The following is a 17,106-nucleotide window of genomic DNA, read 5'->3' as shown; positions in this document are numbered from 1 at the left end:
CCAAGAAACCAAGGAGTACCAAGGCATAATTAAGATACAAATCAACAGAAACAAAAGTGACACACCCACATTCTCCCTCTGTAACTTTAAAGAACAGCAGGGATATAAGGTAAAGCGAATGTTTAATGAACTCAGAATAACAACATACCATAAAAGTTTTTCTTATAAAAACTGAATGTGGTATGAGACATTTGTTGGCCAAAAAAAATTCTCTTTGCTAACATTACCGGCGGTGACCAAACAATGTGTTTGGGCAGAAACAAAATCAATATCAAATATTAATATTTAAAGCTGAAGGAATCTTATAGCAATCAAGAACTTCTGGAATTTAGACGCAATAAAATTGAGGCTAAGAGAAGTGAACTGATCATTTAGCTAGAAAGTCAAGAAATTCTTCATAAGCTCAAATAAAAACAAATGTTATCATTTATCACCCTCTAACAATACTTGACAGCATTACTGAAAACAACAACTCAAATAAGATACTCTCCATTTCTATACACACGGAATATATACATATCACACATACACATACACACTTCAAAATCTGAAACTACTGTAGTTCTAGCTGATGCAGGAGGATCGAATGAGCCCAGGAGTCCCGACGCCAGCCTGGGCAACATGACAAGGCCAGTCTCTAAACAATAAATAAATATAAAACTTTGTCTTAGTTAGGGTTCTGTTAAAATAAAATAAAATAAAACAAAACAAAACTAGAAAAACTTCAAGAGCTAATGGTGATACAAAAATTAGCCGGGCGTGGTGATGGGTACCAGTAATCCCAGCTACTCGGGAGGGTGAGGCAGGAGAATTGCTTGAACCCAAGAGGCAGAGGTTGCAGTGATCAACCACTGCACTCCAGCCTGGCAACAGAGTGAGACTCCACCTCAAAAAAAAAAAAAAGAGCTAATGGTGGCAGTTATCAAAAGCACAGGATGCTATACCTTCAAAACAGGTAGTTCAGAAAAACTAGCCTAATTTAGATTTTGACAATGTCCAAGAAAACTTCATCTTAGCCACTTTAATCTGTGTTCAAAATGCCCTTCAACCTGAAGTAAGAGTCAAGTCATCAAGTAAAAAAATAATCTGCCACATATAGCAACAGGACTCCAAGTACTAAATTGGTTCACCTGCACTCATGGTGCTGGCAGGCCAAAACCCATCTTTTTTTTTTTTTTTTAATCATATATGTATACCTCCAACTTGAGAAATTAAACCTGAACTCAATCAAATGCCTTTAAAAGCATTAGCCTACTCTCAATGAAGAGTTATTTGGAAAAAGCTTAAAACAACCAAATTCATACAACAGAGATAAATTTAAAAATCAAAGTAAAATTTTGCCCAAAGCTTATGATTAGCAATAGGATTTCAGCTGTGAACTGATAAGCAACCAAAAACAAATTTGTTACAAGTTTCCCTTTAAGTGGCCTGTATATATACATATATGTATATATTTAAGTTGTACCAAAAACTGCTTACAAATGGCAATTCCTGTGAAGTAGATGATGATGAAGTTCCAGGTAATTCTAGCATGTTTCCTAATGTACTGGTACTGGAATCTGGATCATCCTGAAAAGATAAATTTATTGAGTTTAATTGCTCTTCTATTGTAATGTTTGTGTCTCCTAGTGAAAAGGGGGCTGGGAGAAGGGCTGCTTTTTCATTGCTGCCGTCCACTTCATTTCTTTGCTTATTTTTCTGTGTTTCAGTCTGAGGAGCTAATGGCAAGAATGGCGATTTGACTGCACCGTGTCTACTCTCTGGTGTGCTGTCTTGTTCACTTCCCATGGCCACTTTTACACCATTCTCTGATTTAGTCTCATAATTGCAGGTGGCATTGGTCTGAGTTTCCTCAAAGATCTCCTCTATACTCTCATCCTCTGTGACTGGCTGTTCTGGGTCCATTTCAGAATCTACATCTGCATCGTCCACACAAGTAAAATTCTCAAAGTGCAGAAAGCCATTCTTGATAGTCTTTGTTACTTTTACCTGGAGTTCAGGGGAGTTATTACAAGAGGGTTCCTGTTTCATAGCAAGTGCTGTAGGACCACCAGGACTCAAGGAAGTGCAAACAATTGGCGTCTGAGCTCTTGAATCACTTTTTTCAGGGTCTTGAAAGGATTCTGATCCATCAGCAGACCCATTTAAATACTCTACATTGATCATGGAGGCCAAATCCTGTAGTCTCCGCAGTGGAATGTAACAAGATGGAGAATCTTGTCCATAAGCATTTTGGGATGTTCCACTGACAGTCGATAACTGCATAGTACACCCATTAAGTGGCTCAGAAAAATTGGATTGACCATTACCGAAAGGGCTGTCCTTGTCTTCAGGGGCATCTAAATTCACTGGATTGGAAAAGGGCAGCAGACAATTTCTTCTGGGTAGTTCACAGGTCTGATCCATCCTGGGCCGGCATCAACCTGGAATCCAAAAGCACAGCAATTAATCTGAGTTAATAGGCCATCTGACTCGACTCTTTAAAATGGCAGCCACTTCAAGGCCTAGTGGCCTCTATGCCTTTCTGCTGCACTTCCATGGGCAGAAAAAGTTCCCCCGACTGGAGATGAAAAAATGGCCTCGATGAGCCTCTGAAAACTCCATTTTCCCGAAGCTGGGCCGATCCTGCTACATAGAAACAGCCCGTCTCTTTTTCCTCCTCTGTAGACTGGTGGACACTTGGGATGAACTAAAATTAAAACCCCTCTGCCCGTCAAAATTCCCAATTCTCAAACAGGACTAGTCCTCCCCCTCCCTCGCCAGGGGTCGAGCAGCTGGATCTCTCAAAAGCAAAAGGCTGCGGGGTCCGAGGGGGGCTCCTGGACCCTGCACAAAAAGGTACCCCCCCCTTCCTGGCTCGCTAGGGCGCAGCGGTCACAATAGCGCTGCACCCTGCGCCCAGCCAGCGCCGGAGCCTTTGCAGCGGCGGTGCGCAGGCCGCAGGCGAGCCGGCCGAGGCGGCTGCACCCCAGAGCTCGCCTTCCTGAATGCAGGCCTGCTGGATCCGCAGCTGCAGGGCGAAGAGGCCTGGACCCGGCAGAGGGAGAAACCGAGGCGGCCAGCGAAGCCCAGTCAGGGTAGCAGCAGCTGCTACAGCTCGAAAAACATGGCTGCTGCCGACGCCGCCGCCGCCTGCCCGGGCCGCGCTCCTTCCCGCAGCCGCGGCAGCACCTCCCAGCCGAGCCGATCGCTCTCATCAATATTCAGCAGCAAGCAAAGTTTGCTGCGGGAGGGCAGCCGGCCCCGCGCCCCGCAGCCTGCTACCTGAGGGGAGGCGGAGGCCGAGGTGTTCGCAGGCGGCCGGCGGGGCACGGGCCGCGCCGGGAGGAAGTTCGCGGCAGCCCGGCCAGCTAGGCCTGAGCCCGGCTGGTAGTGATGGAGGAGGGGGAGGGGGAGGAGGCCGGCGGCTGCAGCGCCGCCGGCCACCAACCCCGCATCGCGCCTGGCCCTCCCCCGAGCCCCTCACCTTACGGCCACCACCATCTTCCCCGCCCGGCCACCCTCCTCCCTCCCTTCTCCTCGCGCCTGCCCGCCGCCCACCCCAGCGCACTAGTTACCGTGCCCCGCGCCCCCTCCCGGGCCAGCTGGGGGGAGGGGGTGACCCTCATTACACTGGGGTGCGAGCGGAGCGGTGGGGAGAGAGCGGGGCCGCTCGCCGCACCCCCCTCCCCCCGCGTCTCTCTTCAGGGGAGAAGGCAGCGAGCGCGACCTGCCCCGGCCTATTCCGCCGCCGCCTCCTCCTCCTCACACCCCCACCGCGCGCGCCCCCGCGGCCGCGCGTGCGACCGAGCGCCTCGCGCCGGCCCGCGTGCGGCTGGGCCCCGAGTGCGCGCGCACCCCTTCCCCCACCGAGCGCGCGCGTTCCCTTCTCTCACTCTTCGGGGTTCAGGGCGGGTGAAGTCGGGCTTGTGAGAGCGCCGCCCAATCAGCGGAGCTGCCGCTGCCGCCCCCTCCCCTCCCCCTGCGCGCCCGCTCGCGGCCGGGGCCTACGGGCCGGCCCGGCTGCCCGGGCGGGGCCTGAGGCGGGCTCCCCAGGGGCCTCGCGCGCCTCCTTGGAGTGTCGGGGCCTGCGGGCGTCGTGGGTGGCATTCCGATCCCCTCACCTACCTCGGGGCACGGCGCTGGCCTCGGGCCGCACACGGCTCCCGCACCCTACGCGTCTCGAACCCCAACCCAGGCGGCACCTGGCGCGGCTGAGGCCTGTCCGATCGTCCCGCCAGCCCTGCTCGGGCCCGCGTCAGTCCCGGCCTCCATCTTAGGTTACAGCCCAGGCTCCCCATCCACTGGGCACCTGCCCTCAGCCCGCTGGGTTCGGCCCGAGGCCAAGGCAACCCCCCTCCTGCCGCAGGGCTCACCTGGGGGCTTGGGCTGGGGTCTTCGAGGCCTCAGGCCCCGAGCAGACGCGGCCGCAGGCGAACCCCCTACCCGGCCGCACCCCAAACCCACACCACCACCACCACCACCACCACAGACCAAGCTGAGCAGGAAACAAAATGGAGGCAGCAGCTCGGGTCTGCCTCCCTGAGCCAAGCCTGTGCAGCCCCAGGGCTCCCTCCTGTCTCAGGCTCGACGCCCGCGAGGCAGAGGCTGGATCGTCCCGGGTGCCGCGGGCAGCCGCCCTACAGCAGCGCAGACGGGCCGGGGACTCGGCCCTGCGGTGCCCACAGCCCCTCACCCACCACCCCTTCCCTTCCCCCTCCCCCCATCCCTCTCCCTCCCCTTGCCGGGCCGTGCGGGGTGAGCGGCTCTGGGGAGCCGGGTCGGGTTACCCGCCCCGGCACTGCTCGCCCGGCCGTGGCCTCCGCGGGGGAACGAAGCCAGGCGACCCCAGCGCTGAGCCCACCCCCGGCACCGAGCCGGGCTGCAGCCTGACAGCGCGTCCGCACCTCGGCCTGCAGCCGTGCGGCCCCCGCCCAGGGAGGCCGAGTCCCCAGCCCGGGCCCAGCCGGGACGAAGCTCCCTCACCACCCCCGAGCCCAGGGGTCCTCGCAGCCTCGGGCGGGGCGAGGGGAACGCCGGGGGAGGGGGTCCTCTAGTCCCTGCACCGCCTCCCGCGCCTAGTCAAGGTCTGGGCCTGGCACGGGGGCTCGGGCAGCGGGCGCCGGCCGGCGTGGGTATGTGCGTGCGCGCCGGGCTGGGGGCCGGGACGGGACGGGCCGCGCCTCGCACCGCGGACGCTGCAGTTCTCGGCACCCAGGCAGATGGCCCTCTCGTGCCACCGCCGCCCAGAGCGGGCCGCCTGCTCCGCAGCCCGGTTCCCCGGGGAGTGCGCGCCTCGCCCCTGAGGGCCGGGCATCTGGACCCCAGCGGAGCTGCGCCGGGACACGGGACCGCCCGGCTGGCCGGGACAAGCCCGCTGGCGCAGCCCTCGGCCTGGGGCCTCACGGCCTGCATCCTGCACCGGGCCCGCAGCACCGAATCTAGCACGACCGCGTGGCGTCCAATCCCCCAAGACAGCGGAAGGGCGGGACAGGGAGCCCAAGCTGGGCCTGAACTTGCGACTCCAGCCCCTCGGGCCCTTCCCCCAGCCCGGACTCCGTCGCCCCCTGGGCTTGATCCCCACCAAGAAGCTCACCTCAGGAGTTACCTGGTCCCTAGGGCGCTAAGCGCCTTCTCGCTGTTCAGAGAAAGCCGGATCCGGCCGCCATAAAAATTCCGCCTCCTCCAGAAAGCCTTCTGTGATTAGATTTGGAGTTAACTCCATCTCAAGCTGAGGGCACCGCCCTCGAGGGCCACGTGACTACTATTCTTCCCATGGCTTAGTAAATGTGCATAGTTATTGCCCCAGTGGACTGTTTACTCACTGCCTTCTGTTAACTTTGAGCCCACCTGGGAGAAAGGCCATTTTTGGCGTTGCCCTGTGTGACATTAGTGCTGGCCAGCTAAACTCCATCCTTCCCCTGCCTTCAGCCAGCGACTGGCCCAGCAGGCGTGGAGCTCGAGATGCTCTTACCCTTTTGCTCTCCAAGGCCCACAGTCCAGTGATGGAGGCTCCCAAGTCAACAGGCCCTTAGCACATGTCTGCAAGTGCCGGATGCAGACCCTGCCAAGACAGCAAGTGGGCTTTGTTAGAGGGAAAGTGCCCACTGGAACGGGACTGATGAGAGGGCTGTGACCTCAGGGAGGCTCCTTCTGTTGAAGAGTCTGAGGTACCCTGAAGATTCTCAGGTGCAAAGTCAGGTTGGTAGTTGTCTATGTGTTGGGACCAACCAGAGAAAAGTCGAGTCTATACCTACAAGGGCCAGCTCTTTGTTCTGCTAGGGTCACTCACCCTGCTAATCCCATCTGGGCAATTCGACTCAACAGGCAAGCTCTGACTGGTTCCTTCTTCACACCTAATAATTTGAGCCAATCATTTTGACTGACAGTTACTCCTCTGCCAATTGCCCCAATTCATCAATGCTCCTCCCAGTCCTTTACTTTGCCACTAACCATCCTGAGGGCCTGAGACCTGCCTTGAACTAGTCACTTAACAGTCCTGAGCCTCAGTTTCCCCATCTGCAACTTCCAATGCACAGCACTGGCTGCGAAGATTCTGTAAGGTAAAGGTCTAAGTGTTAGCAGCCTACACTCAGACTTAGTTATAGGCTGAGCACTTGATGAGTGCTGAAATGTAATTCATCGCTTCATTCAGCAACCATTTCCTGCATTCCAGGCAGTGTGCTGAGTGCTGGGGAAACAAAAGATGAGATCCTGGCCTCGGGAAAAGACAGTTAAATAAAGGTGCTATGGTGTGAAAATAGGGTTGAGACAACAGTTTCTTCCAAAGCTCACCTCTGAACAACACTGCCCTGCAGAACCCCTCTCTCCCACCTCCCAGCTCCTCTGGAAGACTGAGGGCCAAAAGGAGATTGGCAGCTGGGGATGAACTGCTTGCTGACAGGTCTGGGGGAGAAGACCAGGACCCCAGGGAAAACCTCTCAGACTTCTCTGGGATAACCCCTGAGGGCCTTACCTGCCTCTTAGAGTAAAACTTGGCCACAGAGGTCTCAATCACAGCCGACCCATCTCCAGCCTCCCCATCTGGCAGGCCCTGGCCAAGCATCTCATGTGTGCCAGCACTAGGTTGAGAAGATCCACAGCGCCATAGATTCTCACAAGGACACTGACTCCTTGAGTGGGGGCAGAAGGGAGAGGACTGTGTCCCTGTAGGGTGGGGGCCTGGGATGTACACTCAGCTCTCCTCTGGCTGGTTGTCTCAATCCAGGGACCTTTTCTGGGCCTGTGACTCCCATCCTTAGGACTGAGATAAGAATCAGTAAACACTTGCTGGGTCTGTACTAGTGTACTGGACACTGTCCTGGGCACTTCACATACAGTCGTTCCTATGACCCTTCACCAGCCCTACGAAGAATTGAGGTCCAAGAGACTAAGCCCTCATGCAAGGTGTCAGCACCTTAACTCTCACCTGGTATGATGGGCCTCACGTGCTTGCTCTCAGCCTGTCCACCCTACACATACTGCCTGTGAAAAGCCCAGCATGGTGCTTACACACAGGTGCCCAGAAATTTGAATGACAGGCAGAGGGACTCTACCTTGGGCTGAGTTTCCTCATCTGTAAATCTTGGTTACTGATAATTCCTACCCTGGTGAGATATAATAGATACCTGTTGGGACATTTGGCCAATGTACAGTGATCTCTTTTTTCTTAGAACCACCCCTTTTCATTCATTAATTCCATAAATATTTTGGGGCTCCCCGTCACAGCCTTGTGGAAAAAGCAGACAGGTAATAACAAGGCAGAGAACTGAGTACTGAGAGAGAAGCCAAGGGTGCTGGAGAAGCTGAGAATGCCCTTGAAACTAACTCAGGGGTATCCTTGAGGAAGCAACATCCAGAGAGAGTCCTGGAGGATATTCAGGAATAGCCAGGCAAGAAGGGGAAGAGGCAGAGATTCCAGCAGAGTCCAGAGAAACACCAGGCTTCAGAGGAACTGACCACAACAAGCATGTCTAGTGTATGTGCCGGGGCAGAGGTAATGAGTGCAGAAAGAGGCTCAACCAAGGATGGGGCAGACACAGAGCCTCACCCTTCAGGGCTTGGTTGGTTAAGTTAAAGAGTTGAAGCTTTATCTGGAAGGCAGTAAGCAGCCATGGAAGGTGAGGGAGGAGGATAATGACGTGATGGCATCTGAGCAGTAGAAAGCTCACTCTTCTGTGTCCAGAAGACACTGGTTCCTCCCCTAGAAACACAACTCCAGCAAGGGCTCTGCCTGTTGTTACAATAACAGTTGTAGCTTATCCTCCTCTGTTCCAGCTACCCTGCAGGATACTCATTTACTCCTCTGAGATGGGTATTATTGTTATCCCCATCTTCTAGAAAGGAAGCATGACTTGCCCAGAGACAAACTCCCATCCTAGTTCCAGCTCCTTGTTCCCACTGAACAGGAACAGCATCTGCCTTCTGACTAAACAGTTAGGTCTTGGGAGAGGCATGGAGGCCTTTGGTAATTAATCCTGAACATAGCTGGTGAACACCAGGACCATGCCTTCTGATGGGTCTAGGAGCTGTTTCCTTCCTCTCCCCACCCACGGATTTCCCCAAAATTGAATCAGTTTTCAACTTAAGATCAAGGAAGGCCTGACCACATCTGAGACCAGGCAGCCCTCCAGCAGTCTCCTTCCTGCCCCAAATACCAGGTCCTGTCGCTAACCTGAGCCTGTACGCCCAGCCCCAGCCCGAAGGACTCAAGCATCCACCTTTAAGTTTTCTTCTTCTTAAACCTCCTTCTGAAGCTTGGTATGGTGGCCACTAATCCCTGCCCTCCTGCTCTCACTTCCCCCAACTGCCCAGTGCCAGGACAAGCCACATCCTGTCCAGCCTATGCTCATGCCAGTCACTCTGCCTTTTCCCCTGGGCAGACTCCATTCATCCTGTTTAGAAGACTCCTCCTCCTGGTAGTCTTCCCACCCCTACAGGCAGCCATTTTCCCTGAGTCCTGGTAGTAACTAATGGCTTCTAAATCTGGTCTCATCCAGTTGGACAGTCACTTCCAACAAGACTAAGGACATATACTCTCTGACCTCCAGTGAACAAGCCCAGACCGTGAAGCTCAGAGTGAGTGCTCCAGAAACATTTCATGATGCCTGATCTATCCCCTCCTCTCCTCTCCAAGCCTGTGTCTCCATCAGACAGAATTGTGGTTTCAATAACGGACCAAATGAGTTGTACAAAACTCAGATCCTCCCAAAAAGGATTCAAGATGTTTGAGGAACAAACAGCCTTTGGTGCCAGACAATGCTTTACAAAGCATAAGAGGCCAGGTACAGTGGTGCACGCCTTTAGTCCCAGCACTTTGGAAGGCTGAGGCAGACGGATCGCTTGAGCCCAGGAGTTCAAGACCAGCCTGGGCAATATGGCTAAACCTTGTCTCTACAAAAAATACAAAAAGTAGGCCAGGCGCTGTGGCTCACATCTGTAATCCCAGCACTTTGGGAGGCCAAGGCAGGTGGGTCACATGAGGTCAGGAGTTTGAGACCAGCCTGACCAATGTGGTGAAACCCCGTCTCTACTAAAAATACAAAATTAGCCGGATGTGGTGGCACACACCTGTAATCCCAGCTATTCGGGGGGCTGAGGCAGGAGAATCGCTTGAACCCAAGAGGCTGAGGTTGCAGTGAGCTGAGATCGCGCCATTTCACTCCACCCTGGTCCACAAGGCGAAACTCCATTTAAAAAAACAAACAAACAAACAAACAAATTATCCTGGCATGGTGGTGTATGATTCGCACCCATAGTCCCAGCTACTTGGCAGGCTGAGGTGGGAGGATCGCTTGAGCCCAGGATGTGGAGGCTGCAGTGAGCCATGTTCATGCCATTGCACTTCAGCCTGGGTGACAGAGTGAGACTCTGGCTCCAATAAATAAATAAATAAAAGTATAAGAGACCTTATGACCAGGCTCAGTGGCTCATGCCTGTAATCCCAGCACTTTGGGAGGCCGAGGAGGGCGGATCACAAGGTCAGGGGTTCGAGAACAGCCTGGCCAACATGGTGAAACCCCGTCTCTACTAAAGATACAAAGGATTAGCTGGGCGTGGTGGCACGTGCCTGTAATCCCAGCTACAAGGGAGGCTGAGGCAGGAGAATCGCTTGAACCTGGCAGGTGGAAGTTGCAGTAAGCTGAGATCCCGCCATTGCACTCCAGCCTGGGCTACAGGGCGAGACTCCGTCTCAAAAACAAAAAGAGCTTACGTGACCTGGAGTCAGATGGATACAAATTCAAACTGCAGCAGGGCCATTTACCAGGAATGTCATTTTCGCTCTTTGAGCCTCACCAAATGGGATAGCTATGAAGATAAAATATTCAAAGTACGTATAACCTGGCCCTGGGCCCAGCACAAAGCAACTGCCCACTGGGCACCTCCTTCAGGATGCCCCCAGGTTCCTCAACCCAATTATCTGTCTTCTCTCTCCCACCCCAATCCTGCTCCTTCTCTAGGCATCTGATTTTGTTGGATGCACCCCCAGCTTCATATCAAGCCAAGCACTTCTGAACCTACTGATTCAAAACGGAGGAAGAGAAAGTGAGAGAATGCTGGGTTCTGGCAGTGCTTGGATCAGGGAGTGGAAGGAGGAGTATGGGGAAAGGGGGAGGTCTCCAGCCAGTGGCCAGAAAGGTGGCTGCACCTCCTCCTGGGTGAGGATTAGGGTTTATAGCTCACCCACCCACACCTACCCCTTGTTGCCCCTCAAAGAGAAGATATCCTATTTTACAGATGAAAACAAAGGCTGAAAAGCAGCTCATGAAATCACTGCTCTTGCTAGTGGAGGAATGACAAAGAGTTTGTACCCAGTAGTTGCTCAATAAATACTAAAAGGGCTGGGCGTGGTGGCTGAAGCCTATAATCCCAGCACTTTGGGATGCCGAGGTGGGTGGATCACTGGAGGGCAGGAGTTGAAGACCAGACTGGGCAACGAAACCTCATCTCTACAAAAAATTAGCTGGGCGTTGGCCGGACACGGTGGCTCACGCCTGTAATCCCAGCACTTTGGGAGGCCAAAGCGGGCAGATCACAAGGTCAGGAGATCAAGACCATCCCGGCTAACACGGTGAAACCCTGTCTCTACTAAAAATACAAAAATTAGCTGGGCGTGGTGGCGGGCACCTGTAGTCCCAGCTACTCGGGAGGCTGAGACAGAAGAATCGCTTGAACCCGGGAGGCGGAGGTTGCAGTGAGCTGAGATCGCGCCACTGCACTCCAGCCTGGGTGACATAGTAAGGCTCTGTCTCAAAAAAAAAAAAAAAAACCCAGAGGCCAGGTCTGGTGGCTCACGCCTGTAATCCCAGCACTTTGGGAGGCCGAGGTGGGCAGATCACTTGAGGTCAGGAGTTTGAAACCAGCCTGGCCAATATGGCGAAATCCCCTCTCTACTAAAACTACAAAAATTAGCTGAGCGTGGTGGTGCACGCCTGTAATCCCAGCTACTTGGCAGGCTTAGGTAGGAGAATCTCTTGAAGCCGGGAGGCAGAGGTTGCAGTGACCCAAGACCACATCAGTGCACTCCAGCCTGGGTGACAGAGCGAGATTCTGTCTCAAAAAAAAAAAAAAAAAACCCTCCAGAGCTGTAGATTCAGCTAGCTTGATTTATAGAAAATGTGTCTGAAATGGCAAAGGCAGAACCCATCATCAAATCCCTCAGCCAGGCTGGGTGCAGTGGCTCACACCTGTAATCCCAGCACTTTAGGAGGCCTAGGTGGGTGGATCACGAAAGGTCAGGAGTTTGAGACCAGCCTGACCAACATGGTGAAACCCCATCTCCACTAAAAATACAAAAATTAGCCAGCCATAGTGGTGCACACCTGTAATCCCAGCTACTTGGGACGCTAAGGCATGAAAATTGCTTGAACCCGGGAGTCTGAGGTTGCAGTGAGCCAGGATCACACCACTGCACTCCAGCCTGGGCAACAGAGCGAGACTTTGCGTCAAAAAAAAAAAAAAAAAAAAAAAGGCCTTCAGCCAACTCAGATTGACTTTCAGTCAGAAAAGATCTGACTTTGTTTCTCATGAAAACCAGTGTTAGGCTGGATGTGGTGGCTCACGTCTGTAATCCCAGCACTTTGAGAGGCTGAGGTGGGTGGATTACCTGAGGTCAGGAGTTCAAGACCAGCCTGGCCAACATGGTGAAACCCTATCTCTACTAAAAATACAAAAAATTAGCCCAGCATGGTGGCAGGCACCTGTAATCCCAGCTACTTGGAAGGGTAAGGCAGAAGAATTGCTTGAACCCAGGAGGCAGAGGTTGCAGTGAGCTGAGATCACATATTGCACTCCAGCCTGGGTAACAGGAGCGAAACTCCGTCTCGGAAAAAAAAAAAAAGAAAGAAGTAAACCAGTGTTCCAGTGTTAGTATGCATCCCTGTGACAGCCATCCCCTGCTGGATTCTAATTCTAGAACAGACAGACAAGATCAGAGCGTAGCCCGAGTTTGTTGGGTAAGGCCTGGGAAACTCTGCAGGCTCCCCAGCACCCAGTCTCTGAGGCACCCCGCCCCCCACCCCCGCTGACTCCGAAGGAGATTCACTTGGGTGAGATATGGCTTTTCCCTCCTTAGTGAGAAACTGGGAGAAAGAAGACCGAAGAGATGTGATTTCTCAGGCCCACCGAGGACAAATGGAAGGTGCAGTCTGGGAACTTGTTCTTCTAACTCCAGCCATACTCAGAACAATCTGGAAAATCTTCATATCTCTCAGGCAAAAACTTTAAGCAAAAACCGAGATTGGAAAACAGGGCTTTGTAGAACAAAGAGAGCAGCTGTGAGTGGGGGATAGCGGGACAGGGCTTTTTCCAGAGATATAGTTGGCCTCTCTATCACAGGGCCTGGGTTTGCTGTTCCCTCTGCCACCCCATGACTCCTCCTGTCAATCAGCTGGAGTCCCTCCTCAAACAGGTATTCTTTGGCCCCTCCCCTGGCTCTAGGAGCTCCTATCAGGTCCCAAGTCACTCTAGCACATCTTCCTGTTGAATTGCCTTAGAGCTATTACCACTCTCTGAAATTACCTGATGTCTTTCCTATTTATTTCTTTATTTTCTTTTTGTTGAGATATAATTATCATACCATAAAATTCACAAAGAGTACAATCCAGTGGTTTTGGTTTTTGGTGTTTTTTTGAGACAGGGTCTCACTCTGTCACCCAAGCTGACGTGCAGTGGCGCGATCTTGGCTCACTGCAACTTCCGTCTCCCAGGCTCAGATGATCCTCCCACCTCAGCTTCCTGAGTAGCTGGGACTACAGGCACACGCCACCACTCCCGGCTAATTTTTGTATTTTGTACTTATTGGCCATTTATAATCTTCTTTGGAGAAATATCTATTTAGATCCTTTGCCCATTTTTTAAAAATTGGGTAATTTGTCTTTATTGTTCTGTTTTGTTTTGTTTCAGAGTCTCGCTCTGTCGCTCAGGCTGGAGTGCAGTATCATGATCTCGGCTCACTGCAACTTCTCCTGCCTCAGCCTCCTGAGCAGCTGGGATTACAGGTGCTCATCACGCCCGGCTAATTTTTGTATTTTTAGCAGAGGCGGGGTTTCACCATGTTGGCCAGGTTGGTCTCGAACTCCTGACCTCATCATGTGATCCATCTGCCTCAGCCTCCCACAGTGCTGGGACTACAGGTGTGAGCCACTGCACCCGGCCGTCTTTATTGTTCAGTTGTCAGAATTCTTCATGTATTCTGGATATGTCCTTTATCAGATATGAAATTTACAAATATTTTATCCCATTCTGTGGGTTGTCTTTTCATTTTCTTGACAGTGTCATTTTAAACACAAAAATTTTAAATTCTGATCAGGTCTAGTTTTCTTGGTTTTTCTTTACTTTTTTTAAATTTTTTTTAAGATAGGCTCTCACTTTGTTCTGTCACCCAGGCTGGAGTGCAGTGACACGATCTGGGGTCACTGTATCCCTGATCTCCAAGGCTCAAGTGATCCCCTCCACCTCATCCTCCCTAGTATTTGAATTACAGATGTGTGCCACCATGCCTGGCTAAGTTTTATATTTTTTTGTAGAGACAAGGTTTCACCATGTTCCCCAGGCTGATCTCAAACTCCTGGGCTCAAGCAATCCACCTGCCTTGGCCTCCCAAAGTGCTAGCACTATAGGTGTGAGCCACCTATTTTTTCTTTGTTGCTTGTGCTTTTGGTATCATATCTAAGAAACTACTGACCAAAACTTAATCATGAAGATTTACCCTTATGTGTTTTGCCAAGAGGTTTACAATTTTAGTCCTTATATTTAAGACTTTGATCCATTTTGAATTAATTTATGGTGTGAGGGAGGGGTTCAACTTCATTCTTTTGCATGTGGATATCCACTTGTACTAACACCATTTGTTGAAAGGACTATTCTTTCTCCATTTGAATGGTCTTGGCACTCATGACCACAAAAGCACAGGTTTATTTTTGGATTCTCACTCCTACTCCATTGATCTATAGACCCATCTTTATGCCAATACTACACAGCCTTGATTGCTTGATTTTTGTTCTTGTTATTATTCATACTCGTGTCTTTCTGGTTGTCTATAATGGAAACACCAAGAGGTGAGGACTCCTTCACTGGTCTGTTCCCAATGCGTAGAGCAAGACATGGTGCAGAGTAGATGCTCAATAAATATTTGTGAATTGAATGAACAAATTATTGAATGAGTACAGTCCTGTTGGGAAGAGGCCAATTGAGAGGGGAAGGTTGAAGGTACAAGACCAAGAGACGACTGAGGCAAAGAAGGTGCGGGGTGTGTGGGTGGGATCACAGGTGAAGGCATGGGCCATGGACCAGAGGACGAATGCCTCAACCTCTGATACTGGAGGGAAAGGCAAACTGGGGCCTCAGCTGTGTTTTATGTGGGAAGGTAAGGAAATTGAAGGAAGTCCCAGCCAGTGCCTCTGTTTTCTTGGAGAGGTGAGAAGTGAGATCATTAGCTGAGGTAGAAGAGAGGGGCGGTAGGCTCAAGGAAGCTGAGGACGACTGAATAACCTTGGGGCTCCAGCCCAGATCACTCCAGTCACAGGTGGAGGGTGCCCACTGGTTAGGCCCAACCATGGGCTGAAGTTGGGGGTGGTACCAGAGGCGGGGTCAAGGCAGGTTCTGGGGAGGAGGGGTACCAGATGAAAAATGGAGCTGGGGCAAAGGTAGGAAATATGTTCAGTTTTTCAGTTTTTCCTTTTTTGAAACAGAGTTTCTATTGCCCAGGCTGGAGTGCAATGGCGTGACCTCAGCTCACTGCAATCTCTGCCTCCCAGGTTCAAGCGATCCTCCTGCCTCAGCCTCTGAAGTAGGTGGGATTACAGGCGTGTGCCACCACGCCCCACTAATTGTTCAACTGTTCAGTTTTGTTTTTTTTTTTTTTTTTTGAGATGGAGTCTCGCTCTGCTACCAGGCTGGAGTGCAGTGGTGCTATCTTGTCTCACTGTAACCTCCACCTCCCAGGTTCAAGTGATTCTCTTGCCTCAGCCTCCCAAGCAGCTGGGATTACAGGCCTTCACCACCATGCCCAGCTAATTTTTGTATTTTTAGTAGAGACGGGGTTTCAGCATGTTGGCCAGGATGGTCTTGATCTCTTGACCTTGTGATCCTGATCCGCCCACCTCGGCCTCCCAAAGTGCTGGGATTACAGGCGTGAGCCACCACGCCTGGCCTGTTCAGTTTTTTTTTACAGATGTACTTTTTTTTTTTGAGACAGAGTCTCACTCTGTCACTCAGGCTGGAGTGCAGTGGCGCGACCTCGGCTCACTGCAACCTCCGCCTCCCAGGTTCAAGCGATTCTCATGTCTCAGCCTCCCGAGTAGCTGGGATTACAGGTGTGTGCCACCACACCCGGCTAATTTTTGTATTTTTAGCAGAAGTGGAGATTCACCATGTTGGCCAGGCTGCTCTCGAACTCCTGACCTCAAGTGATCCACCCACCTTGGCCTCCCACCACGCCTGGCGATATCTTAAACACATACAGAAAAGGCCAGGCGTGGTGGCTCACGCCTGTAATCCCAACACTTTGGGAGGCCCAAGTGGGTGGATTGCCTAAGGCCAGGAATTCGAGACTAGCCTGGCCAACATGACGAATCCCCATCTCTAATAAAAATACAAAAACTAGCCAAGCTTGGTGGCTAACGCCTGTAATCCCAGCACTTTGGTAGGCCAAGGCAGGAGGATAACCTGAGGTCGGGAGTTCAAGACCAGCCTGGCCAACATGGTGAAATCTTGTCTGTACTAAAAATACAGAAATTAGCTGGGTGCGGTGGTCTGTGCCTGTAATTTGAACTCCTGGGGAGGCTGAGGCAGGAGGATGGCTTCAACCCGGGAGGTGGAGGTTGCAGTGAGCCGAGATTGTACCACTGCATTCCAGCCTGGGCGACAGAGCAAAACTCCATCCCAAAAAACAAATGAAGAAACAAAAATTAGCCAGGTGTGGTGGCATGCACCTGTAATCCCACCTACTTGGGAGGCTGAGGCAGGAGAACTGCTTGAACCCGGGGAGGTGGAGGTTGCAGTGAGCCGAGATCAGGTCACTGCCCTCCAGCCTGGGCGATAGATCAAGACTTTGTCTTAAAAAAAAAAAAAAAAGACAAAAACAGAAAAGTAAAAAAGAAAAATAATGGCTGGGTGCAGTGGCTCACGCCTGTAATCCCAGCACTTTGGGAGGCCTAAGTGGGCGGATCATCTGAGGTTGGGAGTTCGCGACCAGCCTGACCAACATAGAGAAATCCCGTCTCTACTAAAAATACAAAATTAGCTGGGCATGGTGGCGCATGCCTGTAATCCCAGCTACTCGGGAGACTGAGGCAGGAGAATTGCTTGAACCCTGAAGGCTGAGGTTGCCGTAAACCGAGATTGCGCCATTGCACTCCAGCCTGGGCAACAAGAGCGATACTCCATCTCAAAAAAAAAAAAAAAAAAGAAAAAGAAAACAAAAAAGACCTGGACTCAATATGCGTTAACATTTTGCATATTTGCTTGGTAGACTTTTTTCGAAGGCATTTCAAATTGAGTTGCAGAAATCCTAATACTTCTCACCTACAACACTTAGTAAACTTCTCCAAAAAGGAGAACAGTTTTCTACATAACCACAATACCACCTAACAATAATTTGCTTCAGTCTAATGCCTTTTCCATATT

The 17,106-nt window shown here is 51.7% G+C and overlaps 1 protein-coding gene across 12 annotated transcripts in view, besides 11 other annotated features; it reads right to left on the bottom strand.

Moving 5' to 3' along the window:
* NSD1 (nuclear receptor binding SET domain protein 1) overlaps nucleotides 1-5,712 on the bottom strand; it is a 168,416-nt gene extending 162,704 nt beyond the window's left edge. For 3 of the 12 annotated variants that reach the window (NM_001409305.1, NM_001409306.1, NM_001409308.1), the window contains exons 1-3: nucleotides 5,576-5,712; nucleotides 2,310-2,423; nucleotides 1,480-1,569 (exon numbers count right to left, since the gene is read on the bottom strand). In NM_001409305.1, the coding sequence (NP_001396234.1) occupies nucleotides 1,480-1,533 (54 nt within the window). In that variant the 5' untranslated portion in view covers nucleotides 1,534-1,569; nucleotides 2,310-2,423; nucleotides 5,576-5,712. Of the gene's footprint in view, nucleotides 1-1,479; nucleotides 2,424-3,264; nucleotides 3,375-3,557; nucleotides 3,738-3,875; nucleotides 3,911-4,355; nucleotides 4,496-5,575 lie in introns of those variants that run through there. The other 9 variants (NM_001409307.1, NM_172349.5, NM_001409304.1 and 6 more) reach the window with 8 other exon arrangements.
* Nucleotides 2,535-3,088: an enhancer, noted in NCBI's record as "H3K27ac hESC enhancer chr5:176561423-176561976 (GRCh37/hg19 assembly coordinates)". NCBI's record gives its function as "activates a minimal SCP1, AML or CMV promoter by ChIP-STARR-seq in naive H9 embryonic stem cells {active_cell/tissue: H9 hESC(naive)}" and the evidence as "EXISTENCE:reporter gene assay evidence [ECO:0000049][PMID:30033119]".
* Nucleotides 3,089-3,640: an enhancer, noted in NCBI's record as "H3K27ac hESC enhancer chr5:176560871-176561422 (GRCh37/hg19 assembly coordinates)". NCBI's record gives its function as "activates a minimal SCP1, AML or CMV promoter by ChIP-STARR-seq in naive H9 embryonic stem cells {active_cell/tissue: H9 hESC(naive)}" and the evidence as "EXISTENCE:reporter gene assay evidence [ECO:0000049][PMID:30033119]".
* Nucleotides 3,102-3,401: a silencer, noted in NCBI's record as "silent region_16675". NCBI's record gives its function as "represses an Ori minimal core promoter by ATAC-STARR-seq in GM12878 lymphoblastoid cells {active_cell/tissue: GM12878}" and the evidence as "EXISTENCE:reporter gene assay evidence [ECO:0000049][PMID:35858748]".
* Nucleotides 3,462-3,621: a silencer, noted in NCBI's record as "silent region_16674". NCBI's record gives its function as "represses an Ori minimal core promoter by ATAC-STARR-seq in GM12878 lymphoblastoid cells {active_cell/tissue: GM12878}" and the evidence as "EXISTENCE:reporter gene assay evidence [ECO:0000049][PMID:35858748]".
* Nucleotides 3,641-4,194: an enhancer, noted in NCBI's record as "NANOG-H3K27ac-H3K4me1 hESC enhancer chr5:176560317-176560870 (GRCh37/hg19 assembly coordinates)". NCBI's record gives its function as "activates a minimal SCP1, AML or CMV promoter by ChIP-STARR-seq in primed H9 embryonic stem cells {active_cell/tissue: H9 hESC(primed)}" and the evidence as "EXISTENCE:reporter gene assay evidence [ECO:0000049][PMID:30033119]".
* Nucleotides 3,641-4,746: a biological region, named in NCBI's record as "NANOG-H3K27ac-H3K4me1 hESC enhancers GRCh37_chr5:176559765-176560316 and GRCh37_chr5:176560317-176560870".
* Nucleotides 3,702-4,371: a silencer, noted in NCBI's record as "silent region_16673". NCBI's record gives its function as "represses an Ori minimal core promoter by ATAC-STARR-seq in GM12878 lymphoblastoid cells {active_cell/tissue: GM12878}" and the evidence as "EXISTENCE:reporter gene assay evidence [ECO:0000049][PMID:35858748]".
* Nucleotides 4,195-4,746: an enhancer, noted in NCBI's record as "NANOG-H3K27ac-H3K4me1 hESC enhancer chr5:176559765-176560316 (GRCh37/hg19 assembly coordinates)". NCBI's record gives its function as "activates a minimal SCP1, AML or CMV promoter by ChIP-STARR-seq in primed H9 embryonic stem cells {active_cell/tissue: H9 hESC(primed)}" and the evidence as "EXISTENCE:reporter gene assay evidence [ECO:0000049][PMID:30033119]".
* Nucleotides 4,408-4,702: an enhancer, noted in NCBI's record as "tiled region #75; HepG2 Activating non-DNase unmatched - State 10:DNaseD". NCBI's record gives its function as "activates a minimal TATA promoter and a strong SV40 promoter by Sharpr-MPRA in HepG2 cells {active_cell/tissue: HepG2}" and the evidence as "EXISTENCE:reporter gene assay evidence [ECO:0000049][PMID:27701403]".
* Nucleotides 5,853-6,406: an enhancer, noted in NCBI's record as "H3K4me1 hESC enhancer chr5:176558105-176558658 (GRCh37/hg19 assembly coordinates)". NCBI's record gives its function as "activates a minimal SCP1, AML or CMV promoter by ChIP-STARR-seq in naive H9 embryonic stem cells {active_cell/tissue: H9 hESC(naive)}" and the evidence as "EXISTENCE:reporter gene assay evidence [ECO:0000049][PMID:30033119]".
* Nucleotides 7,996-8,045: an enhancer, noted in NCBI's record as "active region_23693". NCBI's record gives its function as "activates an Ori minimal core promoter by ATAC-STARR-seq in GM12878 lymphoblastoid cells {active_cell/tissue: GM12878}" and the evidence as "EXISTENCE:reporter gene assay evidence [ECO:0000049][PMID:35858748]".

Source organism: Homo sapiens, chromosome 5 (assembly GCF_000001405.40).
Source record: "Homo sapiens chromosome 5, GRCh38.p14 Primary Assembly".
Taxonomy (NCBI): domain Eukaryota; kingdom Metazoa; phylum Chordata; class Mammalia; order Primates; family Hominidae; genus Homo; species Homo sapiens.
The sequence above is the reverse complement of the archived record's forward strand: the minus strand, read 5'-3'. Positions and strand labels throughout refer to the sequence as shown.